The sequence below is a fragment of the Homo sapiens genome, chromosome 6 (assembly GCF_000001405.40).
Source record: "Homo sapiens chromosome 6, GRCh38.p14 Primary Assembly".
Lineage (NCBI taxonomy): Eukaryota > Metazoa > Chordata > Mammalia > Primates > Hominidae > Homo > Homo sapiens.
The window spans coordinates 107,027,581-107,052,989 of NC_000006.12; the positions used below are offsets into that span (position 1 = coordinate 107,027,581).

At 47.3% G+C, this 25,409-nt stretch overlaps 1 protein-coding gene across 8 annotated transcripts, besides 4 other annotated features; it reads left to right on the forward strand.

The window, feature by feature from the left end:
- Nucleotides 438–907: a silencer, noted in NCBI's record as "silent region_17436". NCBI's record gives its function as "represses an Ori minimal core promoter by ATAC-STARR-seq in GM12878 lymphoblastoid cells {active_cell/tissue: GM12878}" and the evidence as "EXISTENCE:reporter gene assay evidence [ECO:0000049][PMID:35858748]".
- MTRES1 (mitochondrial transcription rescue factor 1) lies at nt 619–24,006 on the forward strand. Of its 8 annotated transcripts, none has more exons than NM_001142470.3 (5): nt 619–1,217; nt 2,445–2,527; nt 12,169–12,650; nt 16,680–16,752; nt 23,477–24,006. In NM_001142470.3, exons 2-5 carry the CDS (start codon nt 2,525–2,527, stop codon nt 23,654–23,656), a joined length of 738 nt encoding a protein of 245 aa, NP_001135942.1. In that variant the 5' UTR covers nt 619–1,217; nt 2,445–2,524; the 3' UTR covers nt 23,657–24,006. The 8 variants fall into 8 exon arrangements, with proteins under 8 accessions (NP_001135942.1, XP_047274812.1, XP_011534179.1 ...); XM_047418856.1 differs by having other exon boundaries at nt 619–1,165; XM_011535877.4 differs by having other exon boundaries at nt 619–691.
- Nucleotides 1,018–1,127: an enhancer, noted in NCBI's record as "active region_24898". NCBI's record gives its function as "activates an Ori minimal core promoter by ATAC-STARR-seq in GM12878 lymphoblastoid cells {active_cell/tissue: GM12878}" and the evidence as "EXISTENCE:reporter gene assay evidence [ECO:0000049][PMID:35858748]".
- Nucleotides 1,238–1,337: an enhancer, noted in NCBI's record as "active region_24899". NCBI's record gives its function as "activates an Ori minimal core promoter by ATAC-STARR-seq in GM12878 lymphoblastoid cells {active_cell/tissue: GM12878}" and the evidence as "EXISTENCE:reporter gene assay evidence [ECO:0000049][PMID:35858748]".
- Nucleotides 12,777–13,668: an enhancer, noted in NCBI's record as "H3K4me1 hESC enhancer chr6:107361561-107362452 (GRCh37/hg19 assembly coordinates)". NCBI's record gives its function as "activates a minimal SCP1, AML or CMV promoter by ChIP-STARR-seq in naive H9 embryonic stem cells {active_cell/tissue: H9 hESC(naive)}" and the evidence as "EXISTENCE:reporter gene assay evidence [ECO:0000049][PMID:30033119]".
- Nucleotides 24,007–25,409: the final 1,403 nt, after the last annotated feature.

The window sequence follows — 25,409 nt, forward strand, 5'->3', positions numbered from 1 at the left end:
CAACAGAGTGAGACCCTGTCAAAAAAAAAAATGTTCAAAGGGGTTAGTGGTCCCAGAGAAAGGATCACTTCATTAATAATTAAGATGATTAGCCGGTCATGGTGGCTCACGCCTGTAGTCCCAGCTACTTAGGAGACTGAGGAACGACAATCGCTTGAACCCGGGAGGCGGAGGTCGCAGTGAGCTGAGATTACGCCGCTGCACTCCAGCCTGGGCAAGAGTGAGACTCGGTTTCAAAAAAAAAAAAAAAAGAAAAAAGAATTAAGATGGCCGGGCGCGGTGGCTCACGCCTGTAATCCCAGCACTTTGGGAGGCCGAGGAGAGCGGATCACGAGGGCGGGAGATCGAGACCATCCTGGCTAAAACGGTGAAACCCTGTCTCTGCTAAAAACACAAAAAAATTAGCCGGGCGTGGTGGTGGGCGCCTGTAGTCCCAGCTACTCAGGAGGCTGAGGCAGGAGAATGGCGTGAACCCGGGAGAATGGTGTGCCCCGAGCCTACTTCCCGCGCAGTCCTCCAAGACGCGGCCTCCAGCAGGGGTCGCTGCTTCGCTGCCGCCCTGGCCTCGCGCCCCGCCCGACCCGCTCTCACTGCGCCGGCGCCGGCGGAAGGGGCGGGGCGCAGATAGGGGTAGCCTGGAGGCCTGCAGTCCGCGCGGCCGCGGGGAGGGACGAGAGGGCCTGACGTACAGGTGAGTGCGCCTCTGCTGGCGCGCCGCGCCGGGCCCCCTGCCCGCGCCCCCTGTCACTTCGCCTCTCCGCCCCGCCCACGCTCCCGCCGGGTCTCCCCGTGAGTGTCCCGTGTCCTGCCAGCCTCGGGACGCCCCGCGAGCTCAGGGCTGCGCAGGGACTGTGGTAATTGAGCGCGGCGAAGCCTTCCGTTCCTGCCTCCTGTCGCTCCTGCTGGCTCCGAATGCAGACTGCGAACCCGGGGACGCAGTTGTCCATTTCCTTTGACCTTGGGGACCCAGGAAGGTGCACTGCCCGCGGGGGTGGGGAGGGAGCGAGAGGAATCCGACCCTGTCTCAGCCCACAGCCTCCGAGGTCTCCAAGTAAAGGGAAGGATCTTTAGCTGCATTAGACTTCAAAGCGTTTAGACCAGTTTCTCCATCTTACGGAGCGGTGAACGGGCTCAGGAATGTGGAGCGTTTCCTGGCGTCAAGCAGGTCAAAGTCAGCGCTGCTTTTTTTACAGACACTGCTTTTCTTACAGTCTTCGGTTAGTTCAGATTGTATACCTCTCCTGAAGATGTCACCCAAAACCTCCTATGGGATTCTGCCGTGATCATCTCTCCACTCATCCCACACCAACGCCAAAGAGATCTTTTAAAATGAACTTCCATCAGGTCACTTCCCAGGGTCCATCATTGCGTGTTCTTTTCCTGATTCATTCGAATGCACCCGTCCTCCTGATCAATTTTTATTCCACAGGGTGTTGTTTTGTTTTGTTTTGTTTTGTTTTTTTGAGACGGAGTCTTGCTCTGTCGCCCAGGCTGGAGTGCAATGGCGGGATCTCGGCTCACTGCAAGCTCCGCCTCCCAGGTTCACGCCATTCTCCTGCCTCAGCCTCCCCAGCAGCTGGGACTACAGGCGCACACCGCCACACCCGGCTATTTTTTTTTTTTTTGAGACGCAGTCTCGCTCTGTCGCCCAGGCTGGAGTGCAGTGGCGCGATCTCTGCTCACTGCAAGCTCCGCCTCCCGGGTTCACGCCATTCTCCCGCCTCAGCCTCCCGAGTAGCTGGGACTACAGGCGCCTGCCACCACGCCCGGCTAATTTTTTGTATTTTTAGTAGAGACGGGGTTTCACCGTGTTAGCCAGGATGGTCTCGATTTCCTGACTTCCTGATCCGCACGCCTAAGCCTCCGACAGTGCTGGGATTACAGGCGTGAGCCACCGCGCCCGGCCTGTTTTGTTGTTTTTTTTTTTGACACTCGCTCTGTCGCCGAGGCTAGAATGCACTGGTGTGAACTCGGCTCACTGCAGCCTCCCCCTCCCAGGTTCAAGCGATTCTTCAGCCTCAGCCTCCCAAATAGCTGTGACTACAGGTGTGCACCACCACGCTTGGCTAATTTTTGTATTTTTAGTAGAGACGAGGTTTCACCATGTTGACCAGGCTGGTCTTGAACTCCTGGCCTCAAGTGATCCGCCCGCCTCAGCCTCCCCAAGTACTGGAATTACAGGCATGAGCCACCGCGCCCATACTATTTTTATTTTAGATCTCACTGTGTTGCCCAGGCTGATCTCAAACTCTTGGACACAAGCGAGTCTCCTGCCTTGGCCTCCCAAAGTGCTGGGATTATAGGCGTGAGCCACCTGCCTGACCTCATCTTGCCCTCTCAATCCCCCTTACCCTGCTCCACTTTCTTCCCCCAGTGCATTAACCACCAGCTATCATATAATTTACAGGGTGTTTTTTTTTTTGTCTACCTGTTTCCCCTACTAGACTATAAACTCTACAAGAATAGGAATCTTCGTATTTTTTTCCTCTGCTGAATTCCTAGTGCCCAGATTAGTGCTTGGCACATGGTAAGTGCTTAATTAAGGGGAGGATGCCAGTGTTGCTGAAGCTGAATTTGCAAGAGTCAAATTGGCAGATGAGGTTGGAGAGGAAATGGGGGTTGAGGGAGCACCAGATCCTATAGAGCCTTTAGACCATCGTAGAGACTTTGCTGTTCTCTGAGTGCTTTGGTAGGGATTTGAGGAAAGGAGTGACATCGTATGAATGACTTTATTATGTGCCCACGTGGAGGTGTCAAATAGGCAGCTATTGTGTTGCAGGTCCCCAGGTTCATTGATTCACTAAGAGGACTCAAAAGACTCAGCACGTAGTCATACTCACAGCTGTGATTTATTATAGCAAAAGGATACAAAGCAAAATAAGCAAAGGGAAAAGATGCATGGGACACAGTCTGGAGGAAACCCGGTGCAGTCTTCTAAGAGTCCTCTCCTAGTGGAGTCACATGGGGTATGCTTAATTCTTGCAGCATCAAATTATGACAAGACGTGAGAGATCTATCAGGAAAGCTTGTAGAGCTCATTTTTCCAATAAAAAGTCACATAGGCACTGTCTGCCTAGAATGTGCCAAAATTTCCGCCGCCCAGAAAAAAAGCAGGTGTTTAGAATCACATTGTACAGTTTCCAGCACAGTGAGCCACTCTTATCCAGGTGGGAATTGTGGGAACCCTCGTGAAGTTCAAGTTCTGAGACACTAGCCAAGGGCCAACTTTGCAAGCAGGCATTCTAAGGATAGCAGTCTCAGGCCTGTTATGTTAACTCGTTTCTGCACAGATGTACGAGTCTGGAATTTGGGAGAAAGTTCTGGAATGGGGATATAGATTAGGGTGTGGTTGGCATATAGGTGGTATTTAAAGCCACAGAAATGATTGATGTCTTGATAATGCATTTGTAAGAACTAATTGGGTACATTTAAGAGCTGAGCTGGATAAAGTGAATGTAGAAGAGAAGAGGACCAAAGATAGAGCCCTGGGCCGCTCCAACTTTAAGATATCAGGGAGGGCCGGGCACAGTGGCTCAGGCCTGTAATCCTAGCACTTTGGGAGGCTGAGGTGGGCGGGTCACTTGAGGTCAGGATTTCCAGACCAGCCTGGCCAAGGTGGTGAAACCCTGTGTCTACTAAAAATATAAAAAGTGGCCGGGTGTGGTGGTGGGCGCCTGTAATCCCAGCTACTCTGGAGGCTGAGGTGGGAGACTATGGCTTGAACTGGGGAGGCAGAGGTTGCAGTGAGCCAAGATCGCGCCACCCACTGCATTCCAGCCTGGGCAACAGAGGAAGACCCTGTCTCAAAAAAAAAAAAAAGAAAAAAAAAGAAAAAAGGAGAAGAGAAGGAGGCAGCAAAGGAGTCTTTTCTTTTTTTTTTTTTTGAGATAGAGTTTCGCTCCTGTTGCCCAGGCTGGAGTGCAATGGCTTCGGCTCACTGCAGCCTCCGCCTCCCAGGTTCAAGTGATTCTCCTGCCTCAACCTCCTGAGTAGCTAGGATTACAGATGCCTGCCATCGTGCCCAGCTATTTTTTTTTTTTGAGACGTCTCACTCTTGTTGTCCAGGCTGGAGTGCAATGGCGCAATCTCAGCTCACTGCAACCTCTGCCTCCCGGGTTCAAGCGGTTCTCGTGCCTCATCCTACTGAGTAGCTGGGATTACAGGCACGTGCCACCACATTCAGCTAATTTTTGTATTAGTAGTAGAGACAGGGTTTCTCCATGTTGGTCAGGCTGGTCTCGAACTCCCGACCTCAGGTGATCCACCCACCTCGGCCTCCCAAAGTGCTGGGATTACAGGCATGAGCCACCGTGTCCGGCCAGCAGAGGAGTCTTGAGAAGCAGCAGCCACAGGAGAGACAGGAAGAAAACCAAGAGTAAGGTGTCTTGGCGACCAAGTGAAGAAGAGAGGCGTGATCGGTTTTTTCAAGTGCTGCTGAGGAGTCAATTAAGATGAGGACTAACATGACCTTTTGGATTTAGAAAATGAAAGGAGTGGAATTGAGGAGAGTTAGACAACTGTTTTGAGAAGTTTTATGGTAAAGAGGAGCAAGAAAAGAGGTGGTAGCTGGGGAGGAGTGGAGGCAAGAGGTTTGTGTAATTGCTTGCTTTTGAATGAGACAAAAGTAACAGCATCCTCTCCTTTACTATAGCCACCCCCACGTTGATTCATTTCCTCACATATGCCAAGTGCCTGGCTAGGCCTTGGTAAAACACGCAATTCTTGTCATCAGGGAACTGCCATTTAAGTGGAATGTGGGCAAGTAAACTGACTGCCAGGGCACACATGTAAAAGCAGGTCCAGGGGAGGTTGAACCCTGCATCAGCTGGAGCTCAGAGCAAGAATGCCTGAGCTGGGTGCAGTGGATCACGCCTGTAATTCCAGCACTTTGGGAGGCCGAGGCAGGCGGATTACAAGGTTAGGAGTTCGAGACCAGCCTGGCCAACATAGTGAAACCCCATCTCTGCTAAAGATGCAAAAATTAGCCAGGCGTGGTGCCGTGTGCCTGTAGTCCCAGTTACTGGGGAGGCTGAGGCGGGAGAATTGCTTGAACCCAGGAGGCGGAGGTTGCAGTGAGCTGAGCACTGCACACCAGCCCGGGTGACAGTGCAAGACTCCATCTCAAAAAAATAAAAAAATGCCTGAGCATCCTTGAATGCTCATCCTCATTCATCCTTGAATGAGAGAAAAATAACAGCATGCCAATGGACTGGTCCATTATCAAGCAAAAAAATCACTGTTGTAACTTGATATTTCCCCATAGCTCGGTTTCAGGCCACCTTTGCTCTCAGAACTTTGTAGGCATCCTTGCTCTGCGCTCCAGCTGGTGCAGGGTTCAGCCTCCCCGGACCTGCTTTCACATCTGTGCCCTGGCAGTCAGTTTACTTGTCCACATTCCACTTAAATGGCAGTTCCCTGGTGACAAGGACTGTGTGTTTTATACCAAGGCCTACCCAGGAACTTGGCATATGTGGGCGAACGAGTGATTGTAGGGGTGGCTATAGTAATGGGCAGGATGCTCATTTCATTTCTAGAAATTGAATCTGCAACCATTCACTGGTTTTGGTATGTCCTGAGCAGAGGAGTGAAGAACAGGGCACTGTGTAGTCCCTATCACTACACTTAGAGTTTGGGAGATAATTTGTGACTTAATTCAAAAGTAACAAAAAAATGTGTAGTGTTGGTGCAACCAGAGTATGGAAAAGGGCATGTGGGGCATGGCTTGGTAGAGGAGGATGTGACTCGTGTGGAGTCTGGAGGAAGAGGAGACCATGACAAAGGGACAGGAATTTTTCAGTAGTAGATTTTTTTTTTTTTTCAAGTGAGCTATAAGGAACCCAGTATTCTCCAGTGCTGCTTTGGCTTGAGAGGAGCTGGGTGCCTGGTTAGCTTTCTTCTCTGGCACCCCCACTTCCAACTCAGGGCTCCCCTGACCAGTTTCAAAGTCCTGAGGCAGGGCCGGGCACGGTGGCTCACGCCTGTAATCCCAGCACTTTGGGAGGCTGAGCTGGGCAGATCACGAGGTCAGGAGATCAAGACCATCCTAGCTAACATGGTGAAACCCCGTCTCTACCAAAGATACAAAAAATTAGCCGGGCGTGGTGGCGGGTGCCTGTACTCCCAGCTACTTGGGAGGCTGAGGCAGGAGAATGGCAGGAACCTGGGAGGCAGAGCTTGCAGTGAGCTGAGATTGTACCAATGCACTCCAGCCTGGGCGACAGAACAAGACTCCGTCTCAAAAATAATAATAATAATAACAAAGTTCTGAGGCAGAATCTGGGTCCTCCCTTGTGACCCTGAGTGCCCACTGCTAACAACTACAAATGGTCATCATCTCCAGCAAGAATTAGCTTAATGTGTTTCCTCAATTTTATGTTTTTAATGAATTTTATCTAAGCTTCCAACATTTGCCAATGTTTGCCTGCTAGAAAGTTAAGCTGATCACAATGAGAGGTAGTGAGTAGCTAATAAACACAAGGGAATACGTGGCTTGACATTTTGGTATGTTTGTTGAATTTACAAGTGCACCTGATTCTAAATAGTTATTTTCTGCAAGGAAAGGTTTCCTAATGCAGGTAGCAGAGAGCCACATCATATCTAGGCATTCCTCAAAGTAAACAACGGTACGGTATAAAGCTAGGACTTTTCTCAAAGTCAGGAAAAGAGTGTAAAAAAGATACTGAAAAACATAAAAATAGAACTTATGGATGGGGAGTGTGGGCACCCAGGGTCTGACACAGAAACAGGACTACTTCCCTTCCCTAGGTGTCTCCTCTTAGGATATTTTCTAAGTTGGGGCAACAGTTCCTCCCACTCTTCTACCCCTGAAAACTATCTGTTCTCTCTGGTATTGCACTGGTTGGTGAGTTTTTATTCCAGAAAAAAAAAAGGAAAATAGATGTCAGGGTGTGGAAGAAAGAGTGCTTAACTTGGAGTCAGAACACTGATGGACAGTTCAGCATGGTAGTAATGAGTCTAGGCTTTGCAGCTCGGATGCCTAGATTTGAAGAGTATCTGTGTGACCCTATAACTGAGATGGGCTTGTCGCAAGGAACAAATGAGTTAACGTGTAGAGCAATGCCTGGCCCACGGTGAAAACAATGAGCTTTAAGGAGACTTGACCTTGGTCGGGTGCGTTGGCTCATGCCTGTAATCCTAGCACTTTGGGAGGCCAAGGTGGGCAGATCACCTGAGGTCGGGAGTTCAAGACCAGCCTGACCAACATGGAGAAACCCCGTCTCTACTAAAAATACAAAATTAGCCAGGCGTGGTGGCACATGCCTGTAATCCCAGCTACTAGGGAGGCTGAGGCAGGAGAATCACTTGAACCTGGAAGGCGGAGGTTGCAGTGAACCGAGATCACACCATTGCACTCCAACCTGGGCAACAAGAGTGAATCTCCGTCTTAAAAAAAAAGAAGACTTGACCTTGGGATCCTAGCCCTGTCATTTACTAGCTGTGCCACTTAGCGTATTCTTAAATTGCTTCAACTTTTGTTTGTACTCATCTGCAAAATGAGGGAACTGCACAAGGTCATCCCTCAGAGGGTGCTTTTTTTTTTCTTATTTTTGAGATGGAGTTTCACTCTTGTTGCCCAGGCTGGAGTGCAATGACACAATCTCGGCTCACCGCAACCTCCGCCTCCCAGGTTCAAGCAATTCTCCTGCCGCAGCTTCCCAAGTAGCTGGGATTACAGGCACGCACCACCATGCCCAGCTAATTTTGTATTTTTAGCAGAGACCGGGTTTCTCCATGTTAGGCTGGTCTCAAACTCCCAAACTCAGGTCATCAGTCCACCTCAGCCTCCCAAAGTGCTGGGATTACAGGCATGAGCCACCTAAGTAAAACTTTGAATAATGACTCTAGGACTTAAGACCAACACAGACTTCCTGGGGATGATGTTAGAGAGCTCTGGCCACCTATGGCTAAACCTTCCTGTGTGTTTTGGGTGGTTGGGAGAGTATGAGAGGCTGTGCTTATGAGTTAATTATTTTTCTTCAGATTTTACATTGTGAAGGATCTATGCCAAAATCTTACAGTGGTTAACATAGAGTGGAGTATGGCTGGTTTTAATTTTCTTTTTTTGAGATGGAGTTTCGCTCTTGTTGCCCAGGCTGGAGTGCAATGGCACAATCTTGGCTCACTGCAACCTCAACCTCCTGGGTTCAAGCGATTCTCCTGCCTCAGCCTCCCGAGTAGCTGAGATAACAGGCACCCACCACCATGCCTGGCTAATTTTTGTGTTTTTAGTAGAGATGGGGTTTCACCATGTTGGCCAGGCTGGTCTCAAACTCCTGACCTCAGGTTATCTGCCAGCCTTGGCCTCCCAAAGTGCTGGGATTACAGGTGTGAACCACCACACCCGTCCAGTTTTCTTCATATTTTTTCAAATTTTCTACATGAAAATTTATTTTATATACATATAATCAGAAATTTTATGAAAAAATATTATTGCATATAGGGGGTATACTCAACCTTTCCTAGTTATGACTTTTGGGGGGGCATCTAATTTAAATGTATTATTAATGCCCCGATATTCAAATATACTACTGTTGGCAACACTGGGCCGTGGCTATACAAACCTGTGACAAAGTTTTCCTAGACCCACAGTGAGAAAAATAAATGACAATAGTTGATTTCTTATAATGCAAAATTTATTCATCTTAAAGAAGTTTAATTCTGGCCGGGCACTGTGGCTCACACCTATAATCTCAGCACTTTGGGAGGCTGAGGCGGACAGATCACCTGAGGTCAGGAGTTCCAGACGAGCCTGACCAATATGGAGAAACCCCATCTCTACTAAAAATACAAAATTAGCCAGACGTGGTAGCGCATGCCTGTAATCGCAGCTGCTCAGGAGGCTGAGGCAGGAGAATCACTTGAACCCAGGAGGCAGAGGCAGTGAGCCGAGATCGAGCCGTTTCACTCCAGCCTGGGCAAACAAGAGCGAAACTCCATCTCAAAAAAAGTTGTTTAATTCTGGCTGGGTGCGGTGACTCACGCCTCTAATCCCAGCACTTTGGGAGGCCGACGCAGGCAGATCACGAGGTCAGGAGATCGAGACCATCCTGTCTAACACGGTGAAACCCGTCTCTACTAAAAATACAAAAAAATTAGTTGGGCGTGGTGGTGGGCACCTGTAGTCCCAGCTACTCGGGAGGCTGAGGCAGGAGAATGGCGAATGGCGTGAACCCAGGAGGCGGAGCTTGCAGTGAGCTGAGATCGCGCCACTGTACTCCAGCCTGGGCGACAGAGTGAGACTCCGTCTCAAAAAAAAAAAAAAAAAGTGGTTCAATTCTGAGATTATGTCCTTCCTACTCTTTTGGCATGAAATCTTTCTTGGAGTCCACCATGAGGTATCTTTCTCAATTTTGTTTTTTCTGTAGAGATAGAGTCTTACTGTTGCCCAGGCTGGTCTCAAACTCCTGGGCTCAAGCAGTCCTCCTGCCTCAGCTTCCCAAAGTGCTGGGATACAGGCGTGAGCCACTGCGCCTAGCCTAGTTACCTTTAAAAAAAAAGTTTTTTTAATTGTACTAATCAATGAAATATACAGCCTGGGAAATGCTGAAATCCCAGACTGGAGTGCAGTGACACGATCTCAGCTCACTGCAACCTCTGCCTCCCAGGTTCAAGCACCCGCCACCACACCTGGCTAATTTTTGTATTTTGAGTAGAGATGGGGTTTCACCATGTTGGCCAGGATGGTCTCAAGCACCTGACCTCAAGTGATCTGCCCGCCTCAGCCTCCCAAAGTGTTGGGATTACCGGCATGAGCCACCATGCCTGGCTCCAGCTAATTTTCGTACTAAAAGTAGAGATGGGGTTTCACCACGTTGGCCAGGCTGGTCTTGAACTCCTCACCTCAAGTGATCCTCCCTCCTTGGACTCCAAAGTGGTGGGATTACAGGCGTGAGCCTGTACCCAGCCTGATTATGTAAAATTTAAAATTAGCGAGACCTCATCTCTACTAAATAAATTAAATCTAAAAAATTTAAAGGCATTTTTATGAATGGGTATTATTCATTCTCTATTACGCTAGAATATGTGTAAAAGTAATTATTGGCAACATTTCTCTTGAAGGTACTTCAGGTAGTTTCTAGTCATTATTTTAGAGTACTCTGGATTATATAGCATTTTATTTATTTATTTTATTTTTGAGACAGAGTCTCACTCTATCGCCCAGGCTGGAGTGCAGTGGTGCAATCTCAGCTCACTGCAACCTTTACCTCCCAGGTTCTAGCAATTTTCCTGCCTTAGCCTCCTGAGTAGCTGGGATTATAGGCGTATGCCACCACACCCGGCTAATTTTTGTATTTTTAGTAGAGATGGGGTTTCATCATGTTGGCCAGGCTGGTCTTGAACTCCTGACCTCAGGAGATCCACCCGCCTCAGCCTCCCAAAGTGCTGGGATTACAGGCATGAGCCACCATGCCCACCCTAGCATTTTAAAATTATTCCAAATTATAGTTATGTTGAAACAGAGTCTTTACATTCAGTCTGCTTTATTTCCCTTTTAAGACTTAGATTGGAGTCCCAAGAGTGGTGGATTAATAGAGTTGAGACTGGGTCGTATGCTCATCCATGCCAGGGAAATAAGGCCCAAAATGTTAAATATAAATTGGAAGTAGCTAGCTCCATGTTTTTGAGTGAGCCATAATCAGAGGTATCAATCCTAAGGTACAATCTAGGCACAAAGGAAAGTCATTTGCAGACTCACGGTACAAGGATGTTAACCATATGGAAACCCTTCCCTCATTACCAAATCATGGTCTCTAAAACCTTCTTGATATACTTGCAGGGGTGGGGGTGAGTGTGAGTCTGCCACCATCATAAGATGGTTTCTGCTACATTTGAAGTAACTGTAGGAGTTGATTGCCCTCTGACATGTCACAAGCACTTGTTGCAGTTCCCTAGTTTGTGGATCTCTAGACCCCTTCCTTGTCTGCTAGTTAATGCCTCTGTTAAACATTGGGAAGGAGATGTAAAAGGAGTTAAAATGCAGGTCTGTCCAATTTGCTCACCCTTACCTCTGATTTGCTGGGGCTGGAGGTTGAAATAAAGTTTAGAGATTCACTCTGGATTTTATGAAGTCATGATCTGGTGTCCTTCCTTGGCAAAGTCAATGTTGTAAGGATGTAATGTATGTCAGTCAACAGTCTTTCTCTCCAAATTTTCCTTTAAAAACAAAACCAGGGCAGGCGTGGTGGCTCACGCCTGTAATCCCAGCACTTTGGGAGGCCAAGGCAGGCGGATCACCTGAGGTTGGGAGTTCAAGACCAGCCTGACCACCGTGTAGAAACCCCATCTCTACTAAAAATACAAAATTAGCTGGACGTGGTGGTGCATGCCTGTAATTACAGCTACTGGGGAGGCTGAGGCAGGAAAATAGCTTGAACCCAGGAGGCGGAGGTTGCAGTGAGCCGAGATCACGCCATTGCACTCCAGCCTGGGCAACAAGAGCAAAACTCCATCTCAAAAAAAATAATAATAAATAAAAAAACAAACATAATTGAGAACTATTGTTAGTATTTTTTTTAGGAGCAATCAGTACCCAAAGCTAATTTGTGGGAGGGAGAAGAGTAGAACCAGTGCTTTCACATATACTCATATCACATTGGACCTTCCTGACAATCCTATGAGCTAAGCACATTAGTTGCAGCTAGAAGATTCACTGTGCTGTGGTATATGGCCCTTAGTACATGCAGATTGATATGACCCTGTTTTTGTTTTTTTGTTTTTTGGTTTTTTTTAATTTTGGGATGTGGTTTCTCTCTTGTTGCCTGGGCTGGAGTGCAGTGGCGTGATCTCAGCTCACTGCAACCTCTGCCTCCTGGGTTCAAGTGATTCTCCTGCCTCAGCCTCCCGAGTAGCTGGGATTACAGGCGCCTGCCACCACACCCGGCTAATTTTTGTATTTTTAGTAGAGATGGGGTTTTGCCATGTTGGCCAGGCTGGTCTTGTACTCCTGACCTCAGGTGATCCACCCACCTCAGCCTCCCAAAGTGCTGAGATTACAGGCGTGAACCACTGCGCCAGGCCCAATAGGACTTTTTAGGGGCGAATACGTATAGTACTGTACATAAAGCGTTCATAGTGCATATGGTTTATGTTGTAATAATGTCATGACACTGCACTTGTGAGATAAAACTGATTTATTATCTGTTTCAGATTATAAGCGCCATGGCTATGGCTAGTGTTAAATTGCTTGCCGGTGTTTTAAGAAAGCCAGATGCCTGGATTGGACTCTGGGGTGTTCTCCGAGGGACACCTTCATCATACAAACTCTGTACTTCCTGGAATCGATACTTGTATTTTTCTAGTACCAAGTTACGTGCACCAAATTATAAAACACTTTTTTATAATATTTTCTCACTGAGACTCCCAGGGCTTTTACTATCTCCAGAATGTATTTTTCCTTTTTCCGTAAGACTCAAAAGTAATATAAGGTCTACAAAATCTACTAAAAAGTCTCTGCAAAAAGTAGATGAAGAGGACTCTGATGAAGAAAGCCATCATGATGAGATGAGTGAGCAGGAAGAGGAGCTTGAGGATGATCCTACTGTAGTCAAAAACTATAAAGACCTGGAAAAAGCAGTTCAGTCTTTTCGGTATGATGTTGTCCTGAAGACGGGGCTAGATATTGGGAGAAAGTGAGTATGATACGCATTTCATTATAAACTCGCTCGTAGTCATGTTATTTTAATATAGCATTACAAATCACTTGGCCCATATTATGGTGAAGAATAACCACAATAAAAGGACCTTTGTAGGTAACCTGTTTCAATTATTTCATTTTATAGATGAGCAAACTGATTTCCAAAGAAGTCAAGTGACTGCCTGCAAATCCTATGTGCCATATTTGAATCTAAGACACAGTTGACTGTAAGATGAACCATTGATTTAAAAACAGCTTCTTGAGGAGAAAATGAATCACCATATTAGATGTATGTAGCAAACGTAAAATGTACCTGGATATTTCACAAATGCTATAATGTGAGACGGTACCTCAGCTGGGCATGGTGACTCATGCCTGTAATCCCAGCACTTTGAGAGGCTGAGCTGGGCGGATCACAAGGTCAGGAGTTCAAGACCAGCTTGGCCAATATGGTGAAACCCTGTCTCTACTAAAAATACAAAAATTAGCCGGGCGAGGTGGCAGGCGCCTGTAGTCCCAGCTGCTTGAGAGGCTGAGGCAGGAGAGTCACTTGAACCCGGGAGGCAGAGGTTGCAGTGAGCCGAGATCGCGCCACTGCACTCCAGCCTGGGTAACAGAGTGAGACTCCATCTGAAAAAAAAAAAAAGAGGTACCTCTTAGAATTAACAGCATGATGTATACTAAGATGTTGGTTAAGAATGCACGCTTTGGCTGGGCGCAGTGGCTCATGTCTGTAATCCGAGCACTTTGGGAGGCCAAGGCGGGCGGATCACAAGGTCAGGAGATCGAGACCATCCTGGCTAGCACGGTGAAACTCCGTCTCTACTAAAAATACAAAAAATTAGCCAGGCGTGGTGGCAGGCGCCTGTAGTCCCAGCTACTCGGAGGCTGAGGCAGGAGAATGGTGGGAACCCGGGAGGCGGAGCTTGCAGTGAGCCGAGATCACGCCATTGCACTCCAGCCTGGGCGACAGAGCAAGACTCCGTCTCAAAAAAAAAAAAAAAAAAGAATGCAGGCTTTGGAGTGAGATTACTGGGGTTTCAATCCTGGTTCTGTGTGACCTTGGGCAAGTTACTTAAACTTTCTGACCCTCAGTTTTCTCATCTGTAAAATGAAGATGACAGAACCTAGTTTAGAGAGTGGTTGCTAGGATTGAGTGACTATATATTTATGTCAAACACTTATTACAGTGTCTGGCACATAGTAAGTACTCAACATATGTTGGCTATTTTGAAGAAAATACTACATATGTTCATATATAATAGAGGTATTTCTGGGTTTTTTTGTTTTTTGTTTTTTGCTTTTTTTGAGACGGAGTCTTGCTCTGTTGCCCAGGCTGGAGTGCCATGGCACGATCTCGGCTCACTGCAAGCTCCGCCTCCCGGGTTCACGCCATTCTCCTGCCTCAGCCTCCCGAGTAGTTGGGAATACAGGCGCCCACCACCACGCCTGGCTAATTTTTTTGTATTTTTTTAGTAGAGACGGGATTTCACTGTGTTAGCCAGGATGGTCTCGATCTCCTGACCTCGTGATCCACCCACCTCCGCTCCCAAAGTGCTGGGATTACAGGCGTGAGCCACCGCGCCTGGCGAAGATTTCTTTAGTATTCTGATTCCCTCTCTGCTAGATTAATTATATAAGAATAGTGGCCTTCATTGTTCATTTATTCCCTTAGGAATGATTGCATGCATATTGTATACAATGTAAGAATTGTGATATGAATAAATGCAGCAAAACTTCTTGTGTAATTTGTACCTTTATGACCTAATGTAATGGCATAGTTTAATTTTTTAATCCCTGAAGCTTAAGAGATTCATAAAAAGGGCCGGGTGTGGTGGCTCACGCCTGTAGTCCCAGCACTTTGGGAGGCCAAGGCAGGTGTATCACGAGGTCAGGTGATCGATAGCATCCTGGCTAACATAGTGAAACCCTGTCTCTACTAAAAATACAAAAAATTGGCCGGGCGTGGTGGCAGGCGCCTGTGGTTCCAGCTACTTGGGAGGCTGAGGCAGGAGAATGATGTGAACCCAGGAGGCAGAGCTTGCAGTGAGCTGAGATCGCACCACTGCACTCCAGCCTGGGCAACAAAGTGGGACTCCGTCTCAAAAAAAAAAAAAAAAAAGGTTCATAAAAATGAGCCAGCCCACAGGCCCCACCCTTGGCATTCTGATCAGGGTGCCATTAGAGAATGTTCTCTAAACTCTGGCAAACAAATAAGGGGGCCTCTCCTCTCCCAGAGTAGTAACTCCTGCTGTTGTTATTAAGCCAAGCTCCACATGTCAGTCACCTGGAATCAGATATCAAAAAAAGGTGTACTGATTTTTAGCTGCTTCCTCCCCCGGTCTGGTTGCCCTAGTGCGTTAAGTTCAGAGAGATCAGCAGCTGTCAGATTGGAATCTCCCCAGCCTCAGTACAAACTGGCAGAGGGTTTCTTAATGGCCTTGCCATACATGTGGTGCCTGGTTTTTCTCTCAGTGTACAGAGCAGGTGTCTGAGGGGAAGGAAGTGCCCACTCACTTTGGCTGTTGTGAATCACCAGAGCTGCAGCCTGGCCATGTAGTCTCTGCACTGGGAGTCAGGTGGAGTACCCCAGGCCCCTGTCCAGAATGGAGCTTGACATCTATGCTAAAACCTTTCTTAAGGCTCCAATTAACTGCCTAAGAGCACTAGCAAATCTTTGCAGCAGTTCAACATCTATTTAGAAATGCCCTTTGGTCTCCCTGTTTCAGATACACATCAGAGCAGGTGACTTTCACTTTCCCAGGACTCAAAATGGAGACTGGGGAATCCTTGTCAGAATAAACATTAATGGAGGGCCGGGTGCGGTGGCTCACGCCTGTAATCCCAGCACTTTGGGAGGCTGAGGTGGGCGGATCATGAGGTCAGGAGATCGAGACCATCCTGGCTAACATGGTGAAACCCCGTCTCTACTAAAAATACAAAAAAAAATTACCCAGGCGTGGTGGCGGGCGCCTGTAGTCCCAGCTACTCAGGAGGCTGAGGCAGGAGAATGGCGTGAACTTGGGAGGTGGAAGCTGCAGTGAGCCGAGACCACACCACCGCACTCCAGCCTGGGCAATGGAGCGAGACTCCATCTCAAAAAAAAAAAAAAAGTAATGGCAAGTGTTTATCTCAAACTTGTATACAGTTGATGCTTGAACAGTGTGGGGGTTAGGGGTGCCAACCCCCATGCAGTTGAAAAGCCACATATAACTTTTGACACTCAGAAAACTTAACTACTAATATTTTGACACTCAGAAAACTTAACTACTAATATAGCCTACTGTTGACCAAAGGCCTTACTGATACACAGTTACAATAAAGTAAGCTAGAGAAAAGAAAATGTTATTAAGAAAATCATAAGGAAGTGAAAATATATTTACTATTTATTAAGTGGAAGTGGATCATCATGAAGGTCTTCATCCTGGCTGAGGAAGAGGAGGAAGAGGAGGCGTTGGACTTGCTGTCTCAGAGGTGGCAGAGGCTAAAGGAAATCCACATATAAGTGGATCTGCACAGTTTGGACCCGTGCTGGCCAAGGGTCAACTGCAATTGTTTTGAGTATATTTCTATATTTTAAAGCACTTTACCTTTAAAAAAAATAGATTTGAGGCCGGACGCGGTGGTTCACGCCTGTAATCCCAGCACTTTGGGAGGCCAAGGCGGGCGGATCACGAGGTCAGGAGTTCAAGACCAGCCTGGCCGACATAGTGAAACCCTGTCTCTACTAAAAATACAAAAGTTAGGCATGTTGATGTGTGCCTGTAGTCCCAGCTACTGGGAGGCTGAGGCAGGAGAATCACTTGAACCCAGGAGGTGGAGGTTGCAGTGAGCCGAGATGGCGCCACTGCACTCCAGCTTGGGCAACAGAGTGAGACTTTGTCTCAAAAAACAAACAAAAAAAATAGATTTGAGGGTACAAGTGTAGTTTTGTTACGTGGATATACTGTATAGTGATGAAGTCTGGGCTTGAGTGTACCCATCACCCAAATTGTGTACATTGTTGCTTTTTTTTGTTTTGTAGCAAAGTGGAAGATGCTTTCTACAAAGGTGAACTCAGGCTGAATGAGGAAAAATTATGGAAGAAAAGCAGAACGGTGAGATACTAACCTAAAATGACAGCCAGATGTTTTCGTCTCTTACTCTGCTAGTAACTCAATTAATGCTGTCCCAAATTTTCCCTCTGGCTCCTCTTCTTTCTCTGAGGTCCTTTGTGGTCCTCCACGTCAAGCTGGTGGGAATCAGCTACAGGCTTCAGACACACAGGCACTTTCACTTTTGCAGCCTTAATGATCTTCTGATGAAGCTTCTCCCTTTTAAAATTTTAGAATACACCACTGTTAGAACTGGCAGAAATCCATTAATTAAACTTCCAGGTCATTAATGTTAGCCCTCATGGAATCCTCATAATCAGATTTCAAAGAAACATTTGATCCACGTAGAATTGTTCTTTGGCCAGTGGTATCTGAGCAGATGTGTAATTCTATACAGCTCAGCAGTACCCAGTGAGTGCTTGCTGGATGCACGGCTTTGTGTGCAGAGCAGTTATAGAAAAGGATGTGTTCTGTATTTTCTGACAAGTCCATATCAATACTGTTGTTAAGTGAAAGTCAGTTACAAGAAAATGTGTTTCCAGTCTCCACTTTTCTAACAATAAATCATATATAAAAATTCTGGGGCACAGTGGCTCATGCTTGTAATCCCAGCACTTTGGGAGCTGAGGCCAGCAGATCGCTTGAGCCCAGGAGTTGAAGACCAGCCTGGGCAACATGGCAAAACTGTCTCTACAAAAAATACAAAAAATTAGCCAGGCGTGGTGGCAGGCGCTTGTCCCAGCTACTCAGGAGGCTGAGACGGGAGGATTATCTGAGCCTAGGAGGTCAAGGCTGCAGTGAGCCATAATCATGCCAATGCACTCCAGTTTGGGTGACAGAGTGAGACCCTGTCTCAAAAAAAAAAATTCTGGCTGGGCGCAGTGACTCACACCTGTAATCCCAGCACTTTGGGAGGCCGAGTCAGGTGGATCACGAGGTCAGGAGATCGAGACCATCCTGGCTAGCACAGTGAAACCCCATCTCTACTAAAAATACAAAAAAAAATTAGCCGGGTGTGGTGGTGGGCGCCTGTAGTCCCAGCTACTTGGGAGGCTGAGGCAGGAGAATGGCATGAACCTGGGAGGCGGAGCTTGCAGTGAGCCGAGATCGTGCCACTGCACTCCAGCCTGGGCGACAGAGCGAGACTTCGTCTCAAAAAAAAAAAAAAAATTCTGTTAGAAAATATTTTTTTGTAAAAGTAAGTTACGTATATATATACATCTGGAATTAAAATACTGCTGTTACTAGCATTTATCTTTAATTGAAGCATTATGGGTTATGTTAATTTCATAGTTTTTATTTTCTGAATTTTTTTACCATGAGTATGTATCACTTTCATAATGGAAAAAACAATACTGATAATAAAAGTTAACAAAACACAATAAAAAGTTATGACAGAGACCCTTAAAAAGTGTGGAAGACACAAGACACGAGGTATTGGAAGACATAATCTAACTCAGTGTTCAGGGAACAAAGGTTCCAGAGAAGTTAGACATACTTTGGAGATTGTTTTCATTTCATCTTTCATATTTCAAAATACCCCTGGGGTTGGAGGATCCGAACTACATCCGGTTGCCCTAGGACATGGGAAATTGAGGCTGTCGGCTGTCAGCCGTGCATTTGGGTGAGCACTGAGGCTTCCTGCAGTCCTTGCTAACTGGGATCATGCAGGTTCTTGTAGCTCTGTGGGCAGAAGGAGGGAAAACTCCCCCAAGCTGTCTCAGCCCCCAAGTCCCAGGGCCCTGGTGATGCCCCTGACTTGAACCGGCAGGCTGGGACTGTGGCTGGCTGTCAGCAGCTATTGCTCAGTGAGCTACATGCAGTCATAAGCCCTTCTCATCTCTGAATAGCTTTTTCCTGCTGTAGCCTGCCCTCCTTCTAAGCTGCAGTATTCCAAAAACAAGATGTATTCTTGGAGTAAAGAATGATTACTCCCTGAACACCCTGTCTCTGTGCTGGGGCCTCATTTACAAACCCCACTAGACTATTTTTCCTCACACCCCTCCCACCCGCCCCCGTTTTGTGATGTTGTTAACTACAGCCTAATTGCTGCTGCTTCATTCTGCCTTGGGTGTTCTGTTGTCTCAGCTGCCTTCCATGTTTCTTGTGAGGGTCAGCAAAGGAAGGGGGCATTATTAACGCTCAGCTGTCTTGTTACTAGGAGGCCTGGTAGCCATAGAAACTGCAGCTAACTAGAGATTTGAAATGTAGATATTTGGAACAGCTCCTAATCCCAGCCAGTTTTGCTTTGTGTCTGCTGAGGGACAGGGGCCGTGGAGGGGAATAAAGAATGCCTCGCCTTCCCTGGTCTGCTCTGTGGAGCCTGTGCCTGGCTGCTGACCCCGAAGGGTCAGGTGCTTGTCTGATGCTGCAGCTCTAACCCTGGCTGTCTGCGATTCAGCAAAGCTTTTCTTTGAGCTGAAAACCAGGTGAAGCCCAGGGTGTGGTAGGTGTTGGGTAACTGTTGATTAAACAGTGGGTGTGTGGTGTCCAAGTATGGGGATTGAATCCTTCCTAAACTCATCTCTTCCTGGGATCAGTTGGGTAAAGGAGGAGCACCCCTTCTCTGTGCTACAAGGAAGCTCCAAAGGGATTCATTCTTGTGTGTGTGTGTGTGTGTGTGTGTGTGTGTGTGTGTGTGTGTGTGTATTTTTAGTAGAGACGGGGTTTCACTGTGTTAGCCAGGATGGTCTCGATCTCCTGACCTTGTGATCCACCTGCCTCGGCCTCCCAAAGTGCTGGGATTACAGGCGTGAGCCACCACACCCCGCCAAAGGGATTCATTCTTTAGCCACACACTAGCCTTCTCTATCCAGAGGCAGACATCATGCACAGTATCTCTATGAAAGGATATACACAGAGTATCCTTTTCTTTGTATATTTTTTTTTTCTTTTTCTTTATTTTATTTTGGAGACAGTGTCTTGCTCGGTTACCCAGGCTGGAGTGCGGTGGTGCAGCCACAGCTCATTGCAACCTTGACCTTCTGGGCTCAAGTGATCTTCCCACCTCAGCCTCCCGAGTAGCTGGTATGACAGGCACACCACCACGTCTGGTTAATTTTTTATTTTTTATAGAGACAGGGTCTCACTGTGTGGTCCAGGCTGGTCTTAAACTCCTGACCTCAAGTGATCTACCCACCTTGGCCTCCCAAAATTCTGAGATTGCAGGCATGAGACACCACACCTGGCCTATACACCTTTTCTTTGTCTACCCTTTTGTATCTTCTAAATTTTGTATCATATGCATATATTACTTATTAAAAATGAATTGTAGGCCGGGCACAGTGGCTCACACCTGTAATCCCAGCACTTTGGGAGGTCAAGGCAGGTGGAACACTTGAGGCCAGGAGTTTGAGACCAGCCTGGCCAACATGGTGAAACCCCATCTCTACTAAAAATACAGAAAGTTACCCGGGCATGGTGGCAGGCTCCTGTAATTCCAGCTATTCAGGAGGCTGAGGCAGGAGAATCGTTTGAATCCAGGAGGTGGAGCTTGCAGTGAGCCAAGATCGCGCCATTGCACTCCAGCCTGGGCAGCAGAGCGAGACTCCATCTCAAAAAAAGAAAACAAACAAAAAAAGAATTTTAGCTGAGCAAGTTGGTGTGTGTCTGTAGTCGCAGCCACTTGGGAGGCTGAGGAGGGAGTGTCGTTGAGCCCAGGAGTTTGAGGCTACAGTACACTATGATTATGCCTATGAATAGCCACTGCATTCCAGCCTGAGCAACATGTGAGACCTCATCTCTTTAAAAATAGTAATTTGAATGAAATAAGGTTATACCAAAAAGGTAAAGCAGAGTTCCCAAGCCTTGTATTTCTTTTTTTTGAGACAGCCTTGCTCTTGTTGCCCAGGCTGGAGTGCAATGGCACGATCTCGGCTCACTGCAACCTCTGCCTCCCAGGTTCAAGCGATTCTCTTGCTTCAGCCTCCAGAGTACCTGGGATTACAGGCACCTACCATCACGTTCTGATAATTTTTGTATTTTTAGTAGAGACGGGGTTTCGCCATGTTGGCCAGGCTGGTCTTGAACTCCTGACCTCGTGATCCACCCTCAGCCTCCCAAAGTGCTGGGATTACAGGTGTGAGCCACCACGCCTGGCCTGTATTTCTAGACGGATTTTTTAAAATGTCCACATAGGCTGAAGTAGTCATTTTAAAAAATTGAACCCAGGGTTGGGCGCGGTGGCTCACACTTGTAATCCCAGCACTTTGGGAGGCCAAGGCAGGTGGATCATGAGGTCAAGAGATCAAGACCATTCTGGCCAACATGATGAAACCCTGTCTCTACTAAAAATACAAAAATTAGCTGGGTGTGGTGGCACATCCCTGTAGTCCCAGCTACTTGGGAGGCTGAGGCAGGAGAATCACTTGAAACTGGGAGGTGGAGGTTGCAGTGAGCCGAGATCACACCACTGCACTCCAGCCTGGTGACACGGTGAGACTCCATGTCAAAAAAAAAAAAAAAAGAAAAAAAAAATTGAACCAGCAGAACTACAGAAGGGTGGAACCCCCCCACCCCTGCCCAGGTACCTGTGTTGTCCTATCCCTCAAACCCAAGGGGAGAAACAGTCTTGACAATAGCTGTGGTATGAGCCTTTCTGCTTCTCAGCCCACAGGAGAGGAAGTTAATGGTTTAAAATCTGCCCCTCTGTGAGTTTTATATCCAGCTATTGTGGGTTTCCTGGATTGGCCAGTATACTGTTGTGGCAAGCAGGTGCGCATGCCCATGTTGTGGACTGACTGTTGGGCCTGCAGAGGTCTTGAGTGGGTGGGAGAATAGACATGGGCTTGTTCTGGGGAGGTTGAAAGGTTTCAGAGTCTGAAGTTGTATCTGCCTTAAAGAACATTAATTGTAAAATAAGATAAAAGTCAGCATTTGACACCATACTTCTTAAACAGAAGCCCTCTAGTAGCCTTATAAATGGCAATGTGTGCCCACTTACTGTCAGTGGTCCACACATGGGCTTGCTCACCCCCTACTGGAAGCAGTGGTGAGGGGTATGAGATGGCTCCCAGTCATCCCTGGCTTATGTTTTAGTAGAAGCAGCAGCATGTGGCTCCTGGGTCTGTATGGCCCTTCTTTTTTTTTTTTTTTTTTTTTTGGAGACGGAGTCTCGCTCTGTCGCCCAGGCTGGAGTGCAGTGGCGAGATCTCGGCTCACTGCAAGCTCCGCCTCCCGGATTCATGCCATTCTTCTGTCTCAGCCTCCCGAGTAGCTAGAACTACAGGCGCCCGCCACCACACCCAGCTAATTTTTTGTATTTTTAGTAGAGACGGGGTTTCACCGTGTTAGCCAGGATGGTCTCGATCTCCTGACCTTATGATCTGCCCACCTCAGCCTCCCAAAGTACTGGGATTACAGGCTTGAGCCACCGTGCCCAGCCGGCCCTTCTTTTTTTTTTTTTTTTTTGAGACAGAGCTTTGCTCTTGTCGCCCAGGCTGGAGTGCAATGGCGCCATCTTGGTTCACCGCAACCTCTGCCTCCTGGGTTCAAGTGATTCTCCTGCCTCAGCCTCTCAAGTAGCTGGGATTACAGGTGTGTGCCACCATGCTCAGCTAATTTTGTATTTTTAGTAGAGACGGGGTTTCACCATGTTGGTCAGGCCAGTCTTGAACTCCTGACCTCAGGTGGTCCACCCACCTTGGCCTCCCAAAGTGCTGGGATTACAGGTGTGAACCACTGTGCTCGGCCCTGTTTGGCCCTTCTTGAGTGTCTGGAAAGATCCCTTGAGATCCTGAGCTGCCTGGACCCGGTATCTGTCTTGGGCTGTCCATACCTTCAGCACAGACCAGTGTCCTTGACCTTGGAGCTGACATAACTGCCCCAGGGCATGCATTGCACTGTCTCAACTGAAGCTGCTTTCTGTGCAAAAATGGGTTTGACCTCAGCCTTTTAACCCATTGAATCAGCATCCAACTCTGCTTTCTGTGGCATTCTACCTTTGTGAGTGAGTTGAGGCAAGTGTTGCACTGGAAATTGTCTTCACTGTGCATGTAGTAATTACTGTGCACACAGTCTCTAAGACTGCCCCCACTTTCTTTGTCTTTTGCCAGTGTTACCAAGATAAATGTGTCCATTCAAATATTTCCTTAAGTCACCCAATAGATGTGAGTATTTGAGCTACTCTGCGCAGGGACTATCCACAGCCAGCCAGTTGTCTAGTTCTGAAGGAAGGACACTGGCTGATATTGAGGCCCTTGTATTTGAGGCACTCTCCCTTTCTTTTTTTTTTTTTTTTTTTTTTTTTCGTTTTTTTCGTTTTTTTGAGATGGAGTCTCCCTCTGTCGCCCGGGCTGGCATGCAGTGACATGATCTTGGCTCACTGCAACCTCTACTTCCCGGGTCCAAGCGATTCTCCTGCCACAGCCTTCCGAGTATTTGGGATCACAGGCACCCACCACCACACACAGCTAATTTTTTTATTTTTAGTAGAGACGGGATTTCACCATGTTGGCCAGGCTGGTCTCGAACTCCTGACCTCAGGTGATCCACCGAGCTTGGCCTCCCAAAGTGCTGGGATTACAGGCGTGAGCCACCGCACCTGACCTTTCACCCTCCCTTTCACGCTGAGGCACTGGGATAGGTGACAGTGACTAAGGTCAGGGCCTTTACTCACCTGCCCCTCCTCTGGGTCATGATCATGTGGTGAAAACTCAGAGCAGTAATGTTTGCATTGGCCTGGATTTCCCGAAGTGTAACCAAGCCTCTGTTTTCTTTTAATTTTCAGGTGAAAGTGGGAGATACATTGGATCTTCTCATTGGAGAGGATAAAGAAGCAGGAACAGAGACAGTTATGCGGATTCTCTTGAAAAAAGTGTTTGAAGAGAAGACTGAAAGTGAAAAATACAGAGTGGTGTTACGGCGGTGGAAAAGTTTAAAGTTGCCTAAGAAGAGAATGTCTAAATAAATGGATTGCTTTTTAGCAATAGAGCTGCTTTCTAGTGGTAAAGGAAGGGGTCACCTGAAAAATAGGACATTTTTATTAAAATAAAGTTCTCTTAGCGTTTGTGGAATCTGCCGAGCCATTTTGTGGAAATTGGGATCCATATCTGGAGACACTTCCCAAGGCCTGCCTCACCTCCACCCCCTGCCCACCTTGATCCATGCTCCTTTGACCTCCTCGTGTGAGAACCCCTTTGCCAGAGTGAGACGTGTGCAGAATGAACTAAGCCCCAGAGGGTTTTAATGGCTTGCCTGCTGTTTCCCACATAAACTACCTCAGGAGTCACTGTAAAATAAACTGGCCTTGTTGTCTTAGTGTTTTTATTTAAAATGTTCCCTGTCCAGCGGGGCCAGCTTCCCAGGTTCAGGTTTCTTTAGACAAAACCAAGCAAAGTCAAGGGTACCTTCAGATGTTAGGGGATAACCTCTGGGAGAGCCCTTTCTCCCCCTGCCCTTCTGAATTACCAGCGGGGGGCCTTAGTGCCCTTCAATTTGTCTTCACAAGTGTGGATGAATAAAGTTGTTCCAGCTAATTTCAAACCAGCTAGTTAGAGCCCATTTGAAATGATTAGTTTAGCAGGGGTCCATAAACGAAGGCAGCCAAAGACTTGTTTTTCTATGGCCCTTGAGCCAAGAATGGTTTTTACATCACACACACAGGCGCATGCACACACACACACAGCCAGAGACCTTCTGTGGCCCACAAAGCCTAAAATACTTACTTTAAAAAAACTAAATTTTTTGGCGGGGCACAGTGGCTTACACCTGCTAACTCGGCATTTTGGGAGGCCAAGGCAGGTGGATCACTTAATCCCAGGAGTTTGAGACCAGCCTGGGGCAACATAGTGAGACTTCGTCTCTCTCTTAAAAAAACGCCATATTTTTGTAGAGGAGGGTTCTCGCTCTTGCCCAGGCTGTTTCCAACTCCTGAGCTCAGGTGACTGTCTCACTTCGGCTTCCTAAAGTGCTGGGATTACAGGCATGAGCCACTATGCCTGGCCAAAGCCTAAAATATTTACTATCTACCCCTTTACAGAAAAAGTTTTTTGACCCCTAGTTTAGAGTAATAGGTAAGGGTTTAATTTTCGGGTGAAAGCAAACATACCTGTTTTATCAATGAAGAGAATAAAACCAATTCTAATTCTCAAAGTGTCATAAAATGGATGAAGGCTTAGCAGAGTAGTGTGGCGGGGTAGACACACACATAATGTACGTCATCTAAGAAAGGACTTGCGGATGAGTAGGCCAGGCTATAAATTCCCAGGAGCTGTTTCCTGGCACTTGGAGAGATCACCTCCAATAAGAGACTTGTTAGATTATGTCACATCGAAAAGACTGGCTGGTCCAGGCGCAGTGGCTCACGCCTGTAATCCCAACACTGTGGGAGGCTGAGACTTGAGGTCAGGAATTTGAGACCAGCCTGGCCAACACGGTGAAACCCCATGTCTACTAAAGATACAAAAATTAGCTGGGCATGGTGGCAGGCACCTATAATCCCAACTACTCAGGAGGCTGAGGCAGGAGAATCGCTTGAACCTGAGAGGCGGAGTTTGCAGTGAGCAGAGATCGCGCCCCTGCACTCCAGCCTGGGCAAAAAGAGCAAGACTCCATCTCAAAAAAAAGAAAAAAAAGACCCTGTATCTGGGCTCTTATTTGTCCCCCAGGAACTCCTGAGAATCCTTAACTGTCAGTGAAGAGAAACTTCTATAGCCCAAAGC

Excerpts from the sequence above, each read along its gene's own strand:
- MTRES1 (XM_017010920.2), top strand. The coding sequence starts at position 1,267 with ATGGGATTCTGCCGTGATCATCTCTCCACTCATCCCACACCAACGCCA. Across the intron at positions 1,345-12,168 it reads TTAAAATGAACTTCCATCAG|ATTATAAGCGCCATGGCTAT; the intron begins GTCACTTCCCAG and ends TATCTGTTTCAG. Across the intron at positions 16,753-23,476 it reads TATGGAAGAAAAGCAGAACG|GTGAAAGTGGGAGATACATT; the intron begins GTGAGATACTAA and ends TTTAATTTTCAG.